This window comes from Homo sapiens, chromosome 18 (assembly GCF_000001405.40).
Source record: "Homo sapiens chromosome 18, GRCh38.p14 Primary Assembly".
Lineage (NCBI taxonomy): Eukaryota > Metazoa > Chordata > Mammalia > Primates > Hominidae > Homo > Homo sapiens.
This window is the reverse complement of record NC_000018.10, coordinates 35,220,580-35,240,658: the sequence shown is the minus strand read 5'-3', so window position 1 is coordinate 35,240,658 and position 20,079 is coordinate 35,220,580.

Below are 20,079 nucleotides of genomic sequence, written 5' to 3'. Positions count from 1 at the left end.
ACGGTGAAACCCCGTCTCTACTAAAAATACAAAAATTTAGCTGGGCATGTTGGCGGGCGCCTGTAGTTCCAGCTACTCGGGAGGCTGAGGCAGGAGAATGGCGTGAACCCGGGAGGCGGAGCTTGCAGTGAACTGAGATGTGCTGCACTCCAGCCTGGGCGACAGAGCGAGACTCTGTCTCAAAAAAAAAAAAAAAAAAAAAACCTCAGATTTTCCTGTGATTCCAGTTCTTTTCCGACAAAAGTAAATGTAAGGATGAATAGGCTGAACAAAAACTAACAGTCACTTATATTGCTTTTGCCTATGAGTATCACTGGAGCCTTACAACAGTTCTGTGCTGTGGCTATATAATCCCAAATTTACAGCCGTAGACATCGCCCAAAGTCAGGCAACTTGTGACCAGGGACGTCCACGTCCCCATAGTTCAAGGAGACTGGTATCGTAGACTCCTGGAGCCTATCTTAGGGTCTTCCCGTTCTTCAGTGGAAGCTTGCTGGTATTGTCTCACTGTTTAAATTTTTCTTTGGCTATTTAGTCGGTGAAAAATGATGCCTCATGTTTCAACTTTGTGAGCTTAAGATAGTCCCCCTTCATGTTTACTGACCATTTATGGTTCTTCAGAGATGGCTTTTCCCATTTAAAAAATTAAGGGAGTAAGATTTTTCTTTTTTATTTGTGAGAATTTTTTGCTTATTAAGGATAGCAACTCGTTTGTTGCAAATCGTTTCCCATTTATTTGTATTTATTTTTAAAACGTTACATTTTACATGTTTAAATGTTACATATTTTTAAAATGTTATATTAAAAAAGTACACAGGATAATAACAAAGCGATACATACATACATAGAAACAAATTCTCCTTTGTGAGCCAAGACTTAAAACACATATTTGAGAAAAATGTTCGTTAGCATTCAAAGCTATTAGTGACTCACTAAATAATTTTATCATTGTGAAATGACTACAGCAATTTTACAAAGCAAAAAACCAAATAATATTAATTTGTTTATAAATTATCAATTGCTTCATAATGAACCACTTCAAGACTTAGTGACTAAAAACAGCAGATGTTTTATTGCTCACAGTTCTGTTGCCAGGAATTCAGGAAGGGCTTAGCGGAGATGGCTAGTCTGCTTTATGATGTGTCAGCTATCTTCACTTAACTGGGGTGGAAGGTCCAAGATGGCTTCACTCAAATTGCTGAAGTCTTGGTGTTGCCTCTTGGTTGAAGTTACTTGATTCTTCTCCACAAGGCCTCTCTCCATTCAGGAGTTTAGCCTAAGCTTTCTTACATGGTGACTGGCTTCCAAGAGAGTTAAGGAGGAGGAAAGATGCTAATTCTCTTAAAGCCTGAGTCTGGAACTGGCATTATATTTTTCTGCAGTATTCCATGACAGAAGGACTAGAATGGTGGAAAAGGGAAATAGACATTAAGCAGCTTGATCATAGGAGGAAATTTTGGCAGTTATCTTTGCATCCAACCTAACACACCTTGTTATATTGAGAAACCTACTATGTAAGAGTGAAACTATTGAAAGAGAGAAGGCATATCAGTTGAAATGCTTTTGGCTGCAGTAACAGGAACCTTACTAAATGTCCTTATTGTTCAAGCCTTTTAAAAACAAATCCTAATAGCTAGATGCATGGAGATAAAATCATTCCCAGGGTTGGTTACTTCTGCATCTGGACAATATTGTCAAGGACACAGGTTTCTTCCTTCTTTTGGCTCTGCCATCTTTAAGTGTGTTGTTCTCCAGTCTGGCTTCCTTTATGGTCCTAAAATGATTTCCTCAGTTCCAGATTACAGATAATGTTCAGAGACCAAAAAGGGGAACACCTTTATCTTTTGCCCCTTTATACGATTAAGGAAACTCTTTTTCCCTGATAGATTTCTCCATCATGTCTTATTAACTGAAATTGCTTTGAGTGCTTATGTCTATCACTAACAAGGGAGGTAAGGCCTCCATGGTGGGATTAGGACAATTGAAATTTATATCCCAGGGCTAAGGAGAAGGCCAGCCTCTCCTAAAGGACACAGACACTCTGGGGAGAATGCATGAAATTAGGGCTGTGTTAAAAAGGCAGAAAAGGGAGATAAATAGATGAATGTTGAATTTGCAACAGTAATATCTGCTTTGATAGGTAATCTGATTCCCTTGTATAGGTAAGAAAGTGAGACACTGAGAAAAAATCCAGACTCCTGTCCTTCCTTATAAGATGTTACCTATGTTTAAAATATAAAATATTAGTAATTACTTACTTGCAAGAGATGTAGATTAGAGATCTAGAGCCAGTTTCTGGGACATAGTTTAAGTTCCCACTGAGAGAGCAACTGATTACCCCATAGGACTGTAGGGCCTTAGGGCCTCCTTAGAGCCCCTTAAGGACCTTAGCCAACAATTTCCATGACTTATTTAACTTTCAGTGCTATCGGTTATATCAATGCCCTTGAAATCATTCCCTCTATCTTCCCCCATCCCCAGTTTCACATATATCCAGTCTGCTTTAATGTGAAAATATTTGCAAAATTATTGAATCAAGGGTAGAGAAGTATAATTTTTTTCTCCTCCTTCAGATGTTCTTGATTTTTGTTTCTGTTTTTTTAATGATATGTATGACAGGTGTGAAATAATGTCAGCTCCAGGCATTACCAGTGATTAGTGAGTAAGGTTGCTCATTCAGTGAAGTCCAACTGCTTGAATTACTGTATCATACAACATTGGTCTACTTTATGATATTTATCAAGTGAGATAAGCCCATTGAAAGTCTCTTAACTATAAACAACCATTCAATAATAAAGGATAGAGAAAATGGCTTCTGATGCACAAAGGAAAGGAATCATTTTCTTTTATTTTTATTTTTTATAGAAAACATTTTTTTTCATAGAGACGAGGTCTCAATATATTGCCCAGGATGGTCTTAAACTCCTGGGCTCAAGTGATCCTCCCATCTCAGCCTCCCAAAGTACTAGGATTACAGACATGAGACACCACGCCTGGCCAAATCATTTTCTCATTCAGCAAATGTTATGAAATATTTGTATATGTGAAACACTGAGAAGAAAAGTAGGGATTCAAATGAAGTAAAATATATACCCTTTCACCTCACTCATCACTGTAATTCCTAGAGTATAAATTCCATGAGGGGAAGGATTTTGTCTTCCATTGTTGTCTCTCCTGTATGGCCTAGCATTGTGTAGATATTTTGATGAATAAATGAATGAATATATAATACATATATACAAGAGGAAGTATTGATGCAAAAACTAGTGACAGTATTTGAAGCATTCAAAGAAACGGAGTATACAGGTAGGAACATTTTTAATAATATGCTTAGACTATTTTAATATGAACCCAGGATTTGTTTTTATCAGTTATGGTAAGATGACAGACACAGAGGCCATTGCCTTTACAAAAAGAGTTTTTTATTACTCACAATGTATTCTATGGCTCTTCTATGATGTCACTAATTTAGCAGTTGTATTTTTTAGAGACAGATAATAGGATGTATTAACAGAGCATGACAGTGCTTATTTGTAGTATCCAAAACAGTAAACAAAGGCCTTAGTTACTGTTGTTTCTGTTACTGTTGTTTCTGTTTGCTGCTAATGTCAAAGAAAGCCTTTGAGGTTTCTCCTGACATTCATTCTTGTATTTATCATGTATAGAACAGAGTTAAAGCTTCAGGTAGGCTGTTATTATTGTTTTATTTTTTTCAGGTTAATCACAATGATAAATCATTTGACAGGGTCCCACCCCAACTCTTAATTCTGTCAGCCACTTCAGAAAGATCTTCCACTGGGATTCTGTTCTGTCTTAGGGATAATTCAACCATGATACATAGATACATTCTAAGAACTTTTTTTAAAAAAAGGCAATGCCTAAAAGCATGGCGTATGAGTAATAAAAAGAAAAACACATGTTCTCATAGTTTTGTGGGTAGGAACCTTGAGCATTTGGAGAGAAAGCATTAAAAAAAAGCTGTAGGAATTAAGTGATAAAAGACACTCACCCCATTTCATTACACCTATTATATGTGATAAGGTGGATATGTTTAAAAATCTAATCTGTGGATATGTTTAATAATCTAATCTGGTTGCCTTGAGCTTGTATTATTTGCCTAAATTATTTTGTTGTAGCTATCATTATTAAAAGGAGATTTAGATTTTAATTGAATTCTTGATATACAGTGAATTTATTGAATACTCATTGGGTTTCTGTTTGACAGTGTCTAATAAGAAATTTATTTCTTTTAATCTTGCTTGGCAACATAGTGGTAAATGAATAACTAATTTATATATTCCCCCAAATTACCTTAAAGCCCCCTAAATGCCAAATATACTTTTATTTTTAAATATCTTTCAGGTGGTACAATATAATTTGCTTATCTTTTTGGATATGTGTAGCTTTTAAAAGTTATTTTATATATATTATTTTACACATTATGTTTTTATGACTGGGATTATACTGCTGCAGGTAATACTTTTCTTATAAATGGCTACTTCTTATATTTAAAATATCTAGTTGAATACCTTCTTGTGGAACTTCCTTTATTTATAATCTACCAGTTTGAAATTGTAATCAAGTATACAGAGACAATAAATTGACTTTCATTACCGGTTATGGAAATGATTATCCAAAGGGAACTTTTGGGGCTAGCACCTTGGGGAGGAAGGGGCAAGTGAGTATGGACAGAATAATATAATGATTAAAAGTTCAGGTTCTGGAGAAAGCCTGGTTCAAATCTCTGCTCTCTTAATTCTTAGCTCTGTGACCTTGTACAAGTTTCTTAAACTCTGTATACCTCAGTTTCTTCTTCTGAAAAATAAGGATAATTATTGTGTCTACCTCATAACGTTGTTGTAAGCATCAAGTGAATCAATACATTTAGAACAGTGCACAATAAATGTGTATTATTATTTGTGGGAGGAGATATTGAGTCAGTGGATGTGTATTGTTATTTGTGGGAGGAGGTATTGAGTCAGTGGGGAGAATGCGGAGGCTAGAAGAAGGAATATTTCTGCAGGTTTGGATATGCCCAATGATAAGAACAATTTAGGGTCATTATTAAAAATAAACATTTCTAGGCCTTCAATCAGAACACCTGGGGAGGGGGTTTTATCTATTTTTTAGCAATTACCCCAGATGATTCTTAGTATCAATTAGTTTAGGAAACTGTGATATGGTAGACAGAGTACAGGCTTTAGGGTCAGACAGATGTGGATTCTGATCCATCCATTAAACAATTATGTGTAAATGTCTACGTGTACCATTCTTTGGCTACAGCAGATACTAAATCTGATAAAAAATATTTCTACATTTATCCTTATAGACCTTATAGTATATACTGGGATTACGACTCTAAGGCACCAACCAGGGCCTCACTGAGTGACTTTAATGGACTTATTTTTTATTTTTTTAGTTTAGAGACATAGTCTTACTCTGTCAATCTGCTCATTTGATCCTCCTGTCTCAACTCCTGAGTAGCTGGGATGACAGGTGCCCATCTCCGAGCCTGGCTAATTTTTGTAATTTTTTTTTTTTTTGTAGAGATGGGGTCTCACCATGTTGCCCTGGCTGTTATCGAGCTTCTGGGCTCAGCAGTCTGTCTGGCTTGGTCTCCCAAAGTGTTGGGATTACAGGTGTCAGCCACCATGCCCGGCCCATATTTACCAAATTTGTAATACCAAAAAGTATTTGACAGTGGTTTGAATTGGAGTTCATTTAATATAATTGGTGTCCTTATCTACTTCTAAGATCAAAATAGGAACAGAAACCCTGTTTTGTTTGTTTTTTAGTAAATGAATTAAAGAACACTAGTATTAAGATCAATGTAAGAGTGCTATTTAATTTAATACTGTGAAAAATAGACATTAAAGATAAAATACTATTTTCTTGGAATCTTTTGAGTATTGCAGTTTTTATCCTTTGATTTGCAGATTCTGGATATATCTCCCACTGGCTATGGTGGTTTTCTATTCTTTCTACTGTTGGTGCTCATGCATTAAGTACAGTATTAAAAAACATTAAAAACAAACATGCATTTTGGACATTGCTGTGGAGGAAATGAGATGTTCATTCTAGTGGCATTTTAGATAGCTGAAGCTTACCTCTTTAAGAGCCAGAGTTATCACATTTTTGCACATTCTAGTTATGTTGTACATTTCCATCTCTTTACAGAGTATATTGAACACTCTTAGGGCTATAATTTACTTTCACACAAAGTATGATTTTTGGAAATTATGGAAGTATGGAAATAAGGATACAAACTCACTTCTCATTTACTGTTCAACCTGAGGCAATCCACTTTCCTCTTACCATTCCACTTAAGTTGCCTCCTTGAACATAATGACATCTCAATCCTTAGCCTTCCTGCATTTTAGCATTTATCACTGCTGATAACTTGTCCATTTTTTTAGATTCTAGGGCACTATTTTTTCTCTACCTCTCCATCCACACCTTTGCCTTACAGCTGCCTCCTCTTTTCTGCTTACTTCCTTCTGAGGTCATCTTCAACACTCCTCTCTTTTCCATATATATTCCTTCTCTGGCAGTGATTTCATTCTTCCACTTATGCATAAACTGTCCCCAAATTTCTACTTCCAACCCTGACTTGTCTACCAAGCCCTAAATCTTAATATCCAATTTGTGTGAGCGTCTGTTCTGGACAATTCACCAATGCCTCGACATTCACACAGCCAAATCCAATTCGACTACCTTCCTCTATCTTAAATTTTATTATTAATCATGTTATTATTATGAATTATTAAAATAGAATAATTATCTTACTTTCTTAACTTTCCTTTTTGCCTCACACTGTCAAGACTAAGTAGAAATTTTAGGGCCAGTGTAAGGGACCAGAAAAATTGGCCATTCTTTAACTGTGGTCCTATTAAAGCATCATTTGAAATAACTCAAATTTATCTTCTTTTTCTTACTGCTGTTTCAATTCCGGTCTTCGCTGTCTTTCTTGTAATAGCTTTTCAGTCCTTGTCTCCTATCTCTCCTCTTATTCCAATGCATCTTTCAGATTGCTGCCAGAGTCTTAATATGAATTTGATTATGTAATCATGCTATTTTATAAATATTTGCTGCTTTGCCATGTCCACTGAATATAAGGTACATACCCTTGACATACCATCCAACATCTTCCTTCTTCTGACCCATACTCATGTACACCCCACATACTCAGGCACTAAAGGTGATATGCCATTTCTGTTATCCTATTCTGTCCAACTTCCTTGAATTTGCTCCGAATATTATTATTATTATTTTGAGACGGAGTCTAGCTCTGTCGTCCATGCTGGAGTGCAGTGGAGCGATCTCTGCTCACTGCAAGCTCCGCCTCCCGGGTTCACGCCGTTCTTCTGGCTCAGCATCCCGAGTAGCTGGAACTACAGGCACCTGCCACCACGCCCGGCTAATTTTTTTGTATTTTTCAGTGGAGACGGGGTTTCACCGTGTTAGCCAGGATTGTCTCGATCTCCTGACCTCATGATCCGCCCACCTCGGCCTCCCAAAGTGCTGGGATTACAGGCGTGAGCCACTGCACCGGGCCTATTATTTTTAATAATCTTTTTGCTTTTGGTTGAAATTTTCAGCATCCTTCAGGCCACATTATGTTATTTTCCTTGTGAAACCTTCCTCAGCTCCCTAGGAAGGGCTCTGCTATGATATGCTCCTCTTGACTTATTTATTTGAGACAGGGTCTCACTCTGTTGCCCAGGCTATGTGCAGTGGCCTGATCTCTGCTTACTGCAATCTCTGCCTCACCAACTCAAGCAATCCTCCCACCTCAGCCTCCAGAGTAGCTGGGACTACAGGCGTGAGACACCACACCCAGCTAATAAGTGCGCGCGCGCGCGCGCGTGTGTGTGTGTGTGTGTGTGTGTGTGTGTGTGTGTGTATTTGGTAGAAATGGGGTTTGCCGTGTTGCCCAGGCTGGTATTGAACTCCTGGGATCCAATACCAAGCTCAAGGGATCCACCCATGTCTGCCTCCCAGAGTGCTGGGATTATAGGCGTGAGCCACTGCTCCTCTTAACTTATTTATGTTAGTCTTCTCAGGACCTGGCAAAGCACTTTGAGCACACTGTTAATTTCTTTTTAAAATTAAAATTACTCATATTTAGAAATTACCCTTAAAAGGAACTTTTCATTACCATTTAGTTCTTTATTTGTAAATCTCCTTTTTGATTTCTTAGAAAACCAAAGTAATATGATGGTCATAATCACTTTGACAAACATTTAAAAAATGTCTACACTGTTTACATACAATTGAGGTACAGAAAAATTTAATAATTGGTTCAATACTCATCAACTAAGTGAACTGTATAATAGAGCTAGAGTGATGTTTCCTGATTGTACTTCTTCAGTGCTGCACTGCCATAGAGCCATCAGTGAGGACTAGCTGAGATTATGAGAGCCAACCAAGTCTTCAAGTCTCATTTGAAGTATGAGGTCATAACCTGACTCCTACTTGACACATTTCTAAGCTTAGTGGCTAATATAATTTTAAACAAGTCTCAAGTAAATTATTTGAAGTTAGACAAGTCTAGCCAATGTTTAAATAGCAACTGATTTCTCAGTATCCTAGGAAACTGCATCAAAAGTAGGGACTCAAAGACTCTTTAAATAGAGGGAATGTCAGGATCTCTTCAAGCTTCAAAATCAAGGGTACTATTAATTAACAGTTTGTGTGGGTAAGCATGACAACATAGCAGAGTAAAATTAAGAATATACACAAATGAATGCCTTTTGCTAAAGAACAAATCTAACCAAATTGAACAAAATAAAAAAGTAATTATCTTTCTAATCTAACTTGCCTACGATTTTACCATAATTTTTACTACTGTATATTAGTCTATAAAAGGACCCCATACTAGTAACATCCTACAGTTATAGTAAAATATATGATATTGAATGTCAATCTATTTCATAGGATAAATTTTTCTGTTTTTACAGAATTTACTTGTACAAAGAATGAATACATTAGCCTAAAAATCCTCACTAGTTCTTATAGTTATTTGAGTGCATTACTATTATTAGTATCTATGTTAATAATATATATAAGGCGTTAGTATTATAAACAGTAAAAAATCACATATTAATCATGTTTATTAGACTGAAAAATCATTAAGTGTGCAGGTAATAAGTGTTCCAGATTACTTAAGCATTTTTCAATATTTCATGTTCCCAAGATTCTTTTAGCTCTTTCTTCTCTCCTCTCTGGCTTGACAGGAAACTTGCTATTTTGTGTTATATTCACCTATTATTATGCATTAACAAGCAGGTGATAATTAGTGGTGGTATTGAAACTAATTGTAAAATGATTGAAACCATAAGATGACCTCTACTGCTTTAGAAGTAGTTTGACTGGAGCCAGTAAATAGATTTTTGTTTACCCTGCATTCCACAGTCCAAGAGTTCTGGTGGCAGTTCGGCGACTGTTTTTCGTCACAAAGACTGTTGCAGGATTCGAGACATTGCCCTAGAACATGCTGCCCCCTGTTGGCCATTTAAAGCAGGGCACGTTCAGAAGGATCCTAGCGGAGCCTGCAGTGTAATTTCTCATTCCCAGTAACACATAATTTCTGGACATAGAAATTTGGATTTTAAATGTCTAAAGGCTTTATCAAATATTTTAATTATAAATAAAAATTATATAACATCCTAAGGAACCAAATAATCTTGAATACTTTCTACAAAATACTTGAATATAAAGATGCTGTAAAAGAATAAATTTTATGGCCGAGTGCAGTGGCTCACTCCTGTAATCCCAGCACTTTGGTAGGCCGAGGCCGGCGGATCACCTGAGGTCAGGAGTTCGAGACCAGCCTAGCTAAGATAGTGATACCCCGTTTCTACCAAAAATACAAAAAATTAGCCGGGCGTGGTGGCGAGCACCTGTAATCCCAGCTACTCGGGAGGCTGAGGCAGGAGAATTGCTTGAACCTGGGAGATGGAGGTTGCAGTGAGCCGAGGTTGCACCATTGCACTCCAGCTTGGGCAACAAGAGCGAAACTCCATCCAAACAAAAACAAAAAACAAACAAAAAAAACCAAATTTTATTATAGCTACTTTTGAGTTATATGAACAGAGAAAGAAAATTAGCCCTGAAGAATTTGTTTACTAGAATTTTACAGTGAATCTCCTAAGGCTGAATTTCTCGTAAACTTATTTAGTCTTATAAATTCAGCATCACTTATTAAGTGATGGTGTATGTGAAAACTAAATAACTTTGGCCTAAATGAAAATGTTGGGTATTTAAAATGTCATTAATATACAAAATATTACTATGTCTTAATTTTTAAATACTTAATTAAATTCAAAAAATGTTTATTGAGCATCAATGAGCCAGGCACTGTACTAGGTTCTGTGAATACCACAGTACCAGTTGACCCTTGAACAACTTGGGGGTTAGGGGAACTCATACACCTACATATAGGTAAAAAATCTGCATATCGGCCAGACACAGTGGCTCACACCTGTAATCCCAGCACTCTGGGAGGCTGAAGTGGGGGTATTGCTTGAGTCCAGGAGCTCAGGACCAGCCTGGGCAACATAACAAAACCCCATCTCTACTAAAAATATAAAAAATTAGCCAGGCGTGGTGGCACACACCTGAGTACCAGCTACTTGGGAGGCTGAGGTAGGAGAATCACCTGAGCCTCAGAGGTTGAGGCTGCAATGAGCTGAGATCACGCCACCACACTCCAGCCTGGGTGACAGAGAGAGAACCTGTCTCAAAAAAAAAAAAAAAAGCATATAATTTTTTTTTTTTTTTTTGAGACAGAATCTCACTCTGTTGTCCAGGCTGGAGTGCAGTGGCATACCATAGCTCACTGCAGGCTTGAACTCCTGGGCTCAAATGACCCCCCTGCCTCAGCTTCTGAGTAATTGGGATTATAGGTGTGTACCACCAGGCCAGACTGACATATACATATACATTTTTTGTGGGGAGAGTGATGGGGGAGTCTTGCTAAGTTGCTCAGGCTGGTCTTGATGTCTGGCCTCAAGTGCTCCTCATGCCTTGGTGTCAGCGTCCCAAAGTGCTGGGATTACAGGCATGAACCACAGTGCCCCAGCCCACAGTCGACTCCCCCCAAACTTAACTACTGATAGCCTACTGTTGGCTGCAAGCCTTGCCCATAACATAAACAGTTGATTAACATATATTTTGTATGTTATATGATTATATACTGTATTCTTATAATAAAGTAAGCTAGAGAAAAGAAAATGTTATTAAGAAAATCATAAGGAAGAGAAATATATTTACTATCCATTAAGTGGAAGTGGATCATCATAAAGGTCTTCAACCTTCTCATCTTCATGTTGAGTAGGCCGAGGAGTAGGAGGAAGTGGAGGGGTTGGTCTTGCTGTCTCAGGGATGGCAAAGGTTGAAGAAATCCACATATAAGCAGGCCCACAGAGTTCAAAAATTGTTTTTTGTTTAAGGGTCAACTGTAAATAAAAGACACATGGACTGGGCCTCTAGAATCCATCTAGGGTAAGACAGAGACATCAAGAGTATTCTAGAACAACAAAAGTAGGTAGAGTTTAGAGTGCTTGGGAAGAATTGAGGAAGAACTCTGAACCCCAACTTAGATTATGGAAAATAAGAAACAAACCAGATGTATTAGTCCATTTTCATGCTGCTATAAAGAACTGCCCAAGACTGGATAACTGATAAAGGAAAGAGGTCTAATTGACTCCCAGTTCCGCATGGCTGGGGAGGCCTCCAGGAAACTTAAAATCATGGAGGAAAGGGAAGCAAACACATCCTTTTTCACATGATGGCAGGAAGGAGAGGTGCCAAGCAAAGAGGAAAAAGACCCTTATAAAACCATCAGATCTCATGAGAACTCACTCACTATCATGAGAACTGCATGGGGTAAACCGCCCCCATGTTTCAGTTACCTCCCACTGGAGCCCTCCCATGACATGTGGGGATTATTGGAACTACAATTCAAGATGAGATTTGGGTGGGGATATAGCTAAACCATATCACCAGATTAATGTAAATTTTTTTAATTGGTAAGCTACTTTATAGCTGACAAATACAGACTTAAATTTACATCTTCGACAATTTTTTTTTTTTTTTGAGACGGAGTCTTGCTCTGTTGCCTAGGCTGGAGTGCAGTGGCAGGATCTCGGCTCACTGCAACCTCTGCCTCCCGGGTTCAAGTGATTCTCCTGCCTCAGCCTCCTAAGTAGCTGGGACTACAAGTGTGCACTACCACGCGTAGCTAATTTTTGTATTTTTAGTAGAGATGGGGTTTCACCATGTTGGGCAGGCTGGTCTCGATCTCCTGACCTCGTGATCCACCCACCTCTGTCCCCCAAAGTGCTGAGATTACAGGCATGAGCCACCGTGCCCAGCCCCACAAAAAATTTAAACTCCAATTTTATATTGTCAGATTTCCATCTAAAGAGTATGTTTCATTGTAAAATTTCCTCTTCTCTTGAAGAGAAAACTTAACTTCAGAAAAATTGTGAATTCTTTTCATGGTTTAGATGTAAATAATTTAACTTAATAACTAAAGCTTAGACAGAAATGACTAGCAGTTATAAAAGTGTGTATGTTTATAATCTCTCTGGACTTAATAGTCAGTGTTTCAGGAATGATCATGTTTACTTTTTGTGGTCACTTACCAATATTATAATTATGCTGTCCCCCATCTTATAATTTAGGTTAATGTTTTGTAAAGACTTCTTCTCTAAATAGATTTTGTTTGTTTGTTTGTTTTGAGACAGAGTCTCACTCTGTCACCCAGGCTGGATTACAGTGGAGTGATCTTGGCTTACTGCAACCTCCACCTCCCAGGTTCAAGCGATTCTCATGCCTCAGCCTTCCGAGCAGCTGGGATTACAGGCATGTGCCATCACATCTGGCTAATTTTTGTATTTTTTGTAGAGACATGGTTCTGCCATGTTGGCCAAATTGGTCTTGAACTCCTGGCCTCAAGGGATCTGCCTTCCTTGGCCTCCCAAAGTGCTGGCAAGGCAGAAGAATAGGGTCTGGAGGCAGAGAACCTAAGGCCAATTCACACTGACTTCCTAGAAGTAAAGCAAAAGGAAAGGACCAGAGGCTATTCCCTTTGTATTGCCCCTGCTTTTCTGCCTGGCAGATGAAAAATTGAAAGTACCTCTGATTGGTCCCCTCATGCAACCAATCAGGCTGGTAGTGGGCCAAGTCTTCATTTGCATAGGAGTATAACTTTGTAACTTCACTTAAGCCTCTGATTGGTTGCTTTCCAAAACCAATCAGACGTTTGCATAGGATGTAACTCTGTAACTTCACTTCAGCCTTTGATTGGCTGCTTTCTGCAACCACTAGGACTGGTTCATTTACATAGGGTGTACATCAAGTCACCAACAGGAAATTTCTACAGGGTATTTAAGCCCCAGAAAATTATTTAACTGGGGCTCTTAAGCCCCTATGCTCAGGCCCATTCCTGCCCTGTGGAGTGTACTTTTGTTTTCAATAAATCTCTGCTTTTGTCGATTCATTCTTTCCTTGCTTTGTTTGTGCATTTTGTCCAATTCTTTGTTCAAGACGCCAAGAATCTGGACACCCTCCACCAGTAACACTGGGATTACAGGCATGAGCCAGGGCTCCTGGCCTCTAAGTCAATTTTTATTTCTGTAGGTCTATAAGTTTTGGGAATACAGTTCCCTCCTGCTTTTAAATTGTGTATTTAAAATGAAAGGAAAAGTTGCCAGTTTGGAATGAATAAAATAAATAAATAAATAAATAAACAAATAAACAAGCACACACACACAGAGTACACACATATAATGACCTGCTGGAATATTTTTCTCAAACTTTAGTTACTCCTGTAATGAACTGCAGATCTTTGATATTTTTCTACTATTCACCTGTCTACTGCAAAGCCTTTTTCTCCTCTCCTACAATTGCTTACCTTCATTGTTATCTTTTTCTTATGTTTTATGTTCCTTTAATATAGTATGGCATTGCTAGGTCTCAGAATTTTATATGGTTCAATTGTTAATACCTTTAAGATTTGCAAAAAATTATACGATGTTCATGTTTTATTTTATTTTACTTTACCATTATTAGTTTTTTAGACAAGGCCTGGCTCTGTCACCCAGAGTGTAGTGGCACAATCATGGCTCACTGCAGCTTTCGCCTTCTGGGCTCAAGGATTCTCCTGCTTCAGCCTCCCAAGTATCTGGGATTGAAGGTATGTGCCCCCACACCTGGCTAATTTTTGTATTTTTTGTAGAGTCGGAGACTTGACATGTTGCCCAGACTGGTCTTGAACTCCGGAGCTCAAGCAATCTTTCCACCTCAACTTCCCAAAGTGCTGGGATTATGGCATGAGCCACTGCGCCAAGCCCATTGTTCGTATTTTAAAGTAAATTTTAACTAATTTCTTAGACAGCTGAATGGGAAGTCATCTTTCAGCATTTTAATCCAGGGGCTTTTTGTAGTATCTTAAGTCTCCTGGTCTCCGATTAGAAGGTGTTTTCCAGAATATTTTCAGTCTAAAAAAGAATCTCTTGGGATATTTTTTAGTGGAGGTTAAAATGAATAAAATAACATTTTCTCATCTGCTTAAATGTTGTTGTAATCCAATTTTTGAACAGATAAATTTTTTAATGGTTCAAAAAATTGCAAAAGGTATAAGATGAAAAATTGTAATTACCTATTCATTTCCCACTTACCTGCCTACCCTCTGGATAGCCAGCATAATTGGTTTATTATAAGTCATTCCAGAGTTTCTTTATGTCTGCAGAAGCAATGAAAAAATACGTTTCCTTATTCTACCCCTTTTACTCAAAAGGTAGCATACTATACACCCGGTTTTCACTTTGCTTTTTAGAAAGCTAATAATATACCTAAAGATCTTTCCATATTATTTACTTAAAGAGCTTTCTCAGTTTTTTTACAATTGCCTAATATTCTATAACATATAATTTATTAAACCATAATTTATTCAATCAGCCTCCTAGTGATGAAAATTTAGGTTGTTTCCAATGTTTCACTGTTATAAGCAACGTTATAAGAAATAACCATATGCATTTCAAAAGAAGATTATTGACCTGTTATTGTGTTATATGAGTATTTTTTCCTCTTTTTTTTTTTCAGTTTTTGGATTTGTTTTTGTTTTTACCATGCAGAACTTCTTGATTTTCACATAGTGAATTTTATTATTTGTTTCTTCTATGGGTTCTTCATTTTGTGTCATGGTTAGAAAAGTCTTTCTTACTTCAAGATTATAAAAAAAATTATATTTTCTTCTAGAATTTTATTGTTATATTTTCACATCTAAATATTTGATCCATTTAGAATTTGTCCTGATGTAGAATGTGGGTGTAACATATATATTTTTCTAGGTGGCTATCTAATTATTACAATGCCATTTATTAAATAGTTCATCGTTCCCCCCATTAATTTCAGATGACAACCTTTTCATATACTAACTCCCCATATGCGCTTGACTTATTTCTTGGCTTCATGTTTTATTCTTTTCCTCTGGATTTGTCTGGCTATACATGTGCCACTTTTCCTAATTGTCTTTTGAGCTATTAAACATTAATATGGTTTTCATTTATTTTTGTTTGATGAATAACAAGGGGTTGTAAGCATCCTGTGCTTTGGAAGGCATATTTTGATCATTAAGGTAAGGTGTGAATAAAGTCAGATGATAAGCCTGCTTGTGCCTGCACCTTGGCATACTCAGTGTCTAGTCCTTTTGTGTTTATCCTGAAGGACAATGTTTTCTAAGATGTGATGGAGAAATGCTGAAAACATTTTATTAGTCATGTAGGCTCTGGATAATAGTTGTATAATTTGGACATGCACTAGATCATGCAAATAATCAAAGATTGAAAGAAGGATTGATCTTGCCCAGCTCTACAACACAGGAAAAACAGAAATATAAGAGTAATCACTTAGTACTCACAGAACGGTTTTTCTTTTATTTTTTTTTCTTTTTTATTTATTTTATTATTTTGACTTTTAAGTTCAGGGGTACAAGTGATTTGTTACAAAGGTAAACTTGTGTCATGGAGGTTTGTCATACAGATTATCACCCAGATATTAAGCCTAGTACTCATTAGTTATTTTTTAAGATCTTCTCCCTTCTCCTACCCTTCACCCTCCAAAAGGCCCCTGTTTGTGTTGTTCTCCACTATGTGTCCATGTGTTCTCATCATTTAGCTTCCACTTATAACTGAGAACATGTGGTATTTGGTTTTTTTGTTCCTGTGTTAGTTTGCTAAGGATAATGGCCTCCAGCTCCATCCATGTCCCAGCAAAGGACATGATTTTGTTCTCTTTTGTGGATGCATAGTATTCCATGGTATATATGTACCACATTTTCTTTATCCAATCTGTCATTGATGGGCATTTGACTTGGTTTCATGTCTTTGCTATTGTGAATAGTGCTGCAAAAACATACACATGCATGTGTCTTTATGGTAGAATGATTTATATTCCTTTGGGTATAATGGGATCCCAGTAATGGGATTGCTGATTGAATGGTATTTTTGTCTTTATGTCTTTGAGGAATCACCACACTGTCTTCCACAATGGCTGAACTAATTTACACTCCCGCCAACAGTGTATAAGCTATCCCCTTTCTCCACAGCCTCACCAGCATCCGTTATCTTTTGATTTTTTTTAATAATAACAATGTCAGCAAAAAGTCTCAGGATACAAAATTAATGTGCAAAAGTCACTAGCATCCCCATACACCAACAATAGTTAAGCCAAGGACCAAATCAGGAATGAACTCCCATTCACAATTGCCACAAAAGAAATAAAATACATAGTAACACGGCTAACTAGGGAGGTGAAAGATCTCTACAAGGAGAACTACAAAACACTGCTCAAAGAAAACACAGAAGACGCAAACAAATGGAAAATCATCCCATGATCATGGATAGGTAGAATCAATTTTATTAAAACAGTCATATTGCCCAAAGCAATTTATAGATTCAATGCTATTACTATTAAACCACTATTGACATTCTTCCCAGATCTAGAGAAAACTATTTTACAATTCATATGGAACAAAAACAGAGCCTGGATAGCCAAGGCAATCCTAAGCAAAAAGAAAAAACCTGGAGGCATCACACTATTCAACTTGAATCTATATCATAAGGCTATAGTAACCAAAACCAGCATGGTACTGGTACAAAAACAGACACATAGACCAATGGAACAGAATAGAGATCCCAGAAATAAGACCACATACCTGCAACTATCTGATCTCTGACAAATCTGACAAAAGCAAGCAATGGGGAAAGGATTCCTTATTCAATAAGTGATGCAGAAGAATTGGCTAGCCATATGCAGAAGATTGAAACTGGACCACTTCCTTACACCATATACAAAAATTAACTTGAAATACCTTAAATGTAAAACCCAAAACTATAAAAATCCTGGAAGACAACCTAGACGATACCATTCAAGACATAGGCACAGGCAAAGATTTCATGATGAAGACGCCAAAAGCAATTGCAACAAAAGCAAAAAGTGACAACTGGGATCTAAGTAAACAGTTTTTCTTTTGATATGTTATTTCAGTTATTTCTTACCATAACTTGGTAGATACTGTTATTTTATGGATGACGAAGTCACAGATTGGTTAAATGAGCCCAAGTTCACACAGACAGTGTTAGAGCCTAAATTTCAAGTTTGGCATTTTTTTTTCCTATTTGTTTTTTGTTTTGTTTTTGAGATAAATAAATATTCACAGTTAGCTGCAAAAATGGTAGAGAGGTCCTATGTACACTTTACCAAGTTTTCCCCAGTGGTTTTGTCATTGGAGAAGATGCACATAAGATGTAAACATTTATATAATTTATATAACCATCTTATTTAACCGTAAGTTGCAGCAATTGGGGAAACTGGGTAAAGAGTTACATCTCATTAGAGAGTACAATATTAAAACTAGGAGGATTCTGGGAAGATGGCAGAGTAAAAAGTCTCAGGAATCTGTCTCCTCACCTAGACAGCAACTGCACCGGCAGAATCTGTCTGATGTAAATATTTTTGGAACTCTGGCATCTATTGAATTGAAGGCTTACAACTCCTATAGAATGGCTTGCACAAGTAAATTGCGGTTAAGTTAAATCAATTTCAGCCCTTAGGACAGTAACAGTTCATATCCCCTTTCACTCGCGTCCATGTGAAGAGACCACCAAACAGTCTTTGTGTGAGAAATAAAGCTTTTTAATCACCTGGGTGCAGGCAGGCTGAGTCCTAAAAGAGAGTCATCGAAGGGAGATAGGGGTGGGGCCGTTTTATAAGATTTGGGTAGGTAAAGGAAAAAAGTGGGGTTGTTCTCTGGTGGGCAGGGGTGGGGGGGTCACAAGGTGCTCAGCAGGGGAGCTTTTGAGCCAGGATGAGCCAGGAGAAGGAATTTCACAAGGTAATATCATCAGTTAGGGCAGGAACAGGCCATTTTCACTTCTTTGTGGTGGAATGTCATCAGTTAAGGCAGGAATTAGCCATCTGGATGTGTACGTGCAGATCACAGGGGATATGACGGCTTAGCTTGGGCTCAGAGGCCTGACATTCCTGTCTTCTTATATTAATATGAAAAATAAAACGAAATAGTGGTAAAGTGAGTGTTGGGGTGGTGAAAATTTTTGGGAGTGATATGGAGAGAAATGGACGATGTTTCTCAGGGCTGTTTCAAGCGGGATTGGGGAGGTGTGGGAACCTAGAGTGGGAAAGATTAAGCTGAAGGAAGATTTTGTGGTAAGGGATGATATTGTGGGGTTGTTAGAAGAAACATTTGTCATGTAGAATTATTGGTGATGGCCTAGATATGGTTTTGTATGAATTGAAAAACTAAACAGAATAAGAGAAGGAGAAAAACAGGTATTAAAGGACTAAGAATTGAGGACCCAGGACATCCAATTAGAGAGTACCCAAGGGGGGTTCAGCGTAATTACTTGCTTGGTTGGCAAGTTTTTGGGCTCTATCCTGAAGTTTTTTTATGTTGTCATACACCAGGTCAGATTGATTTAGGTAAAAATAACAGTCTTCATTTAAGAATATACAGAGTTGTCCTTTTTCAGCAGTGAGTAAGTCAAGGCCTCAGCGGTTTTGGAGGACAACTGCAGCTAAAGAGTAAACTTGGGCCTGGAGGACTGATAAAGTTTGTGATATGTCTGTGATGCTAGCAGAGAAGTCATTAGAGAGGCTGTGGAAGGTCGTGACAGAGGTTGAAACGCCTGCTATTCCAGTACCGAGAGCAATAGTGGAGGCAGAAAGTCCTAAACTGACAAGCAAGGGAATTCATGGAATAACTCTTTTTTGTCATGTTGGTGTCATGAGGGGGAACAGGGAGCTCTTCGGTCCTATTTGCAAATTGAATTTTGGGACTAAGAAAAACTAGTGTGCATGTGCCTGTCCAATTAGCAGGTAGACACGTGTAGGCAGAGGATCCACAGAGGAAGAATAGACCTTGTGCTAGGCAAAACTGGAGATGCAAAGTAAAAAGATGAGAAGGAGTGCTGAAAGGGGTGTCTTGTACCCAGACTCCTAGGGATCCAGCTAGGACGGCAGCTGTCAGAGGTTGTAATGGGGACTGATGAGGTAACTACGTAGAGGGGGAGGTTCAATTTTCATGGTGTAAGAGAAAATCGTCGAGTGTCTACGAGCAACCTTTCACTGTTATTTTCGGGGCTGGGTATAAGTAAACAAGAAGAGGGCCTGGGAGGAGAGTCTGATGAGCAAGGGGAAGGTAGCCAAGGATGGAGTGAAATACAGGGTGTCTTCCTAAGCAATAATTACTGCTAATGTTTTTAAGTTTGCCAGTATTGATAGAGGGCTTGTCTGTAATACGGAGCTGGAAGGCTCCAATTGTTTCAGTGATGTGTGTAGTTAGGCTTTGGAGATGAAGAGTGAAGGAACATTGAGAAGGTGAAAGGTTACTTAGGGGAATTCCAGTGGGTCTTTGCCCAAAGATACATAAAGGAGTGGCCACAGGAGTAGTAGTTTGTGTTGTGAGAAGTGTAAATATGGGAGGAGTAGAGTTGACATAAGGAGAAAAGTTTTTTAAGTAAGTACGGAGGGGGGCGGCAGCTTGCTGATGTG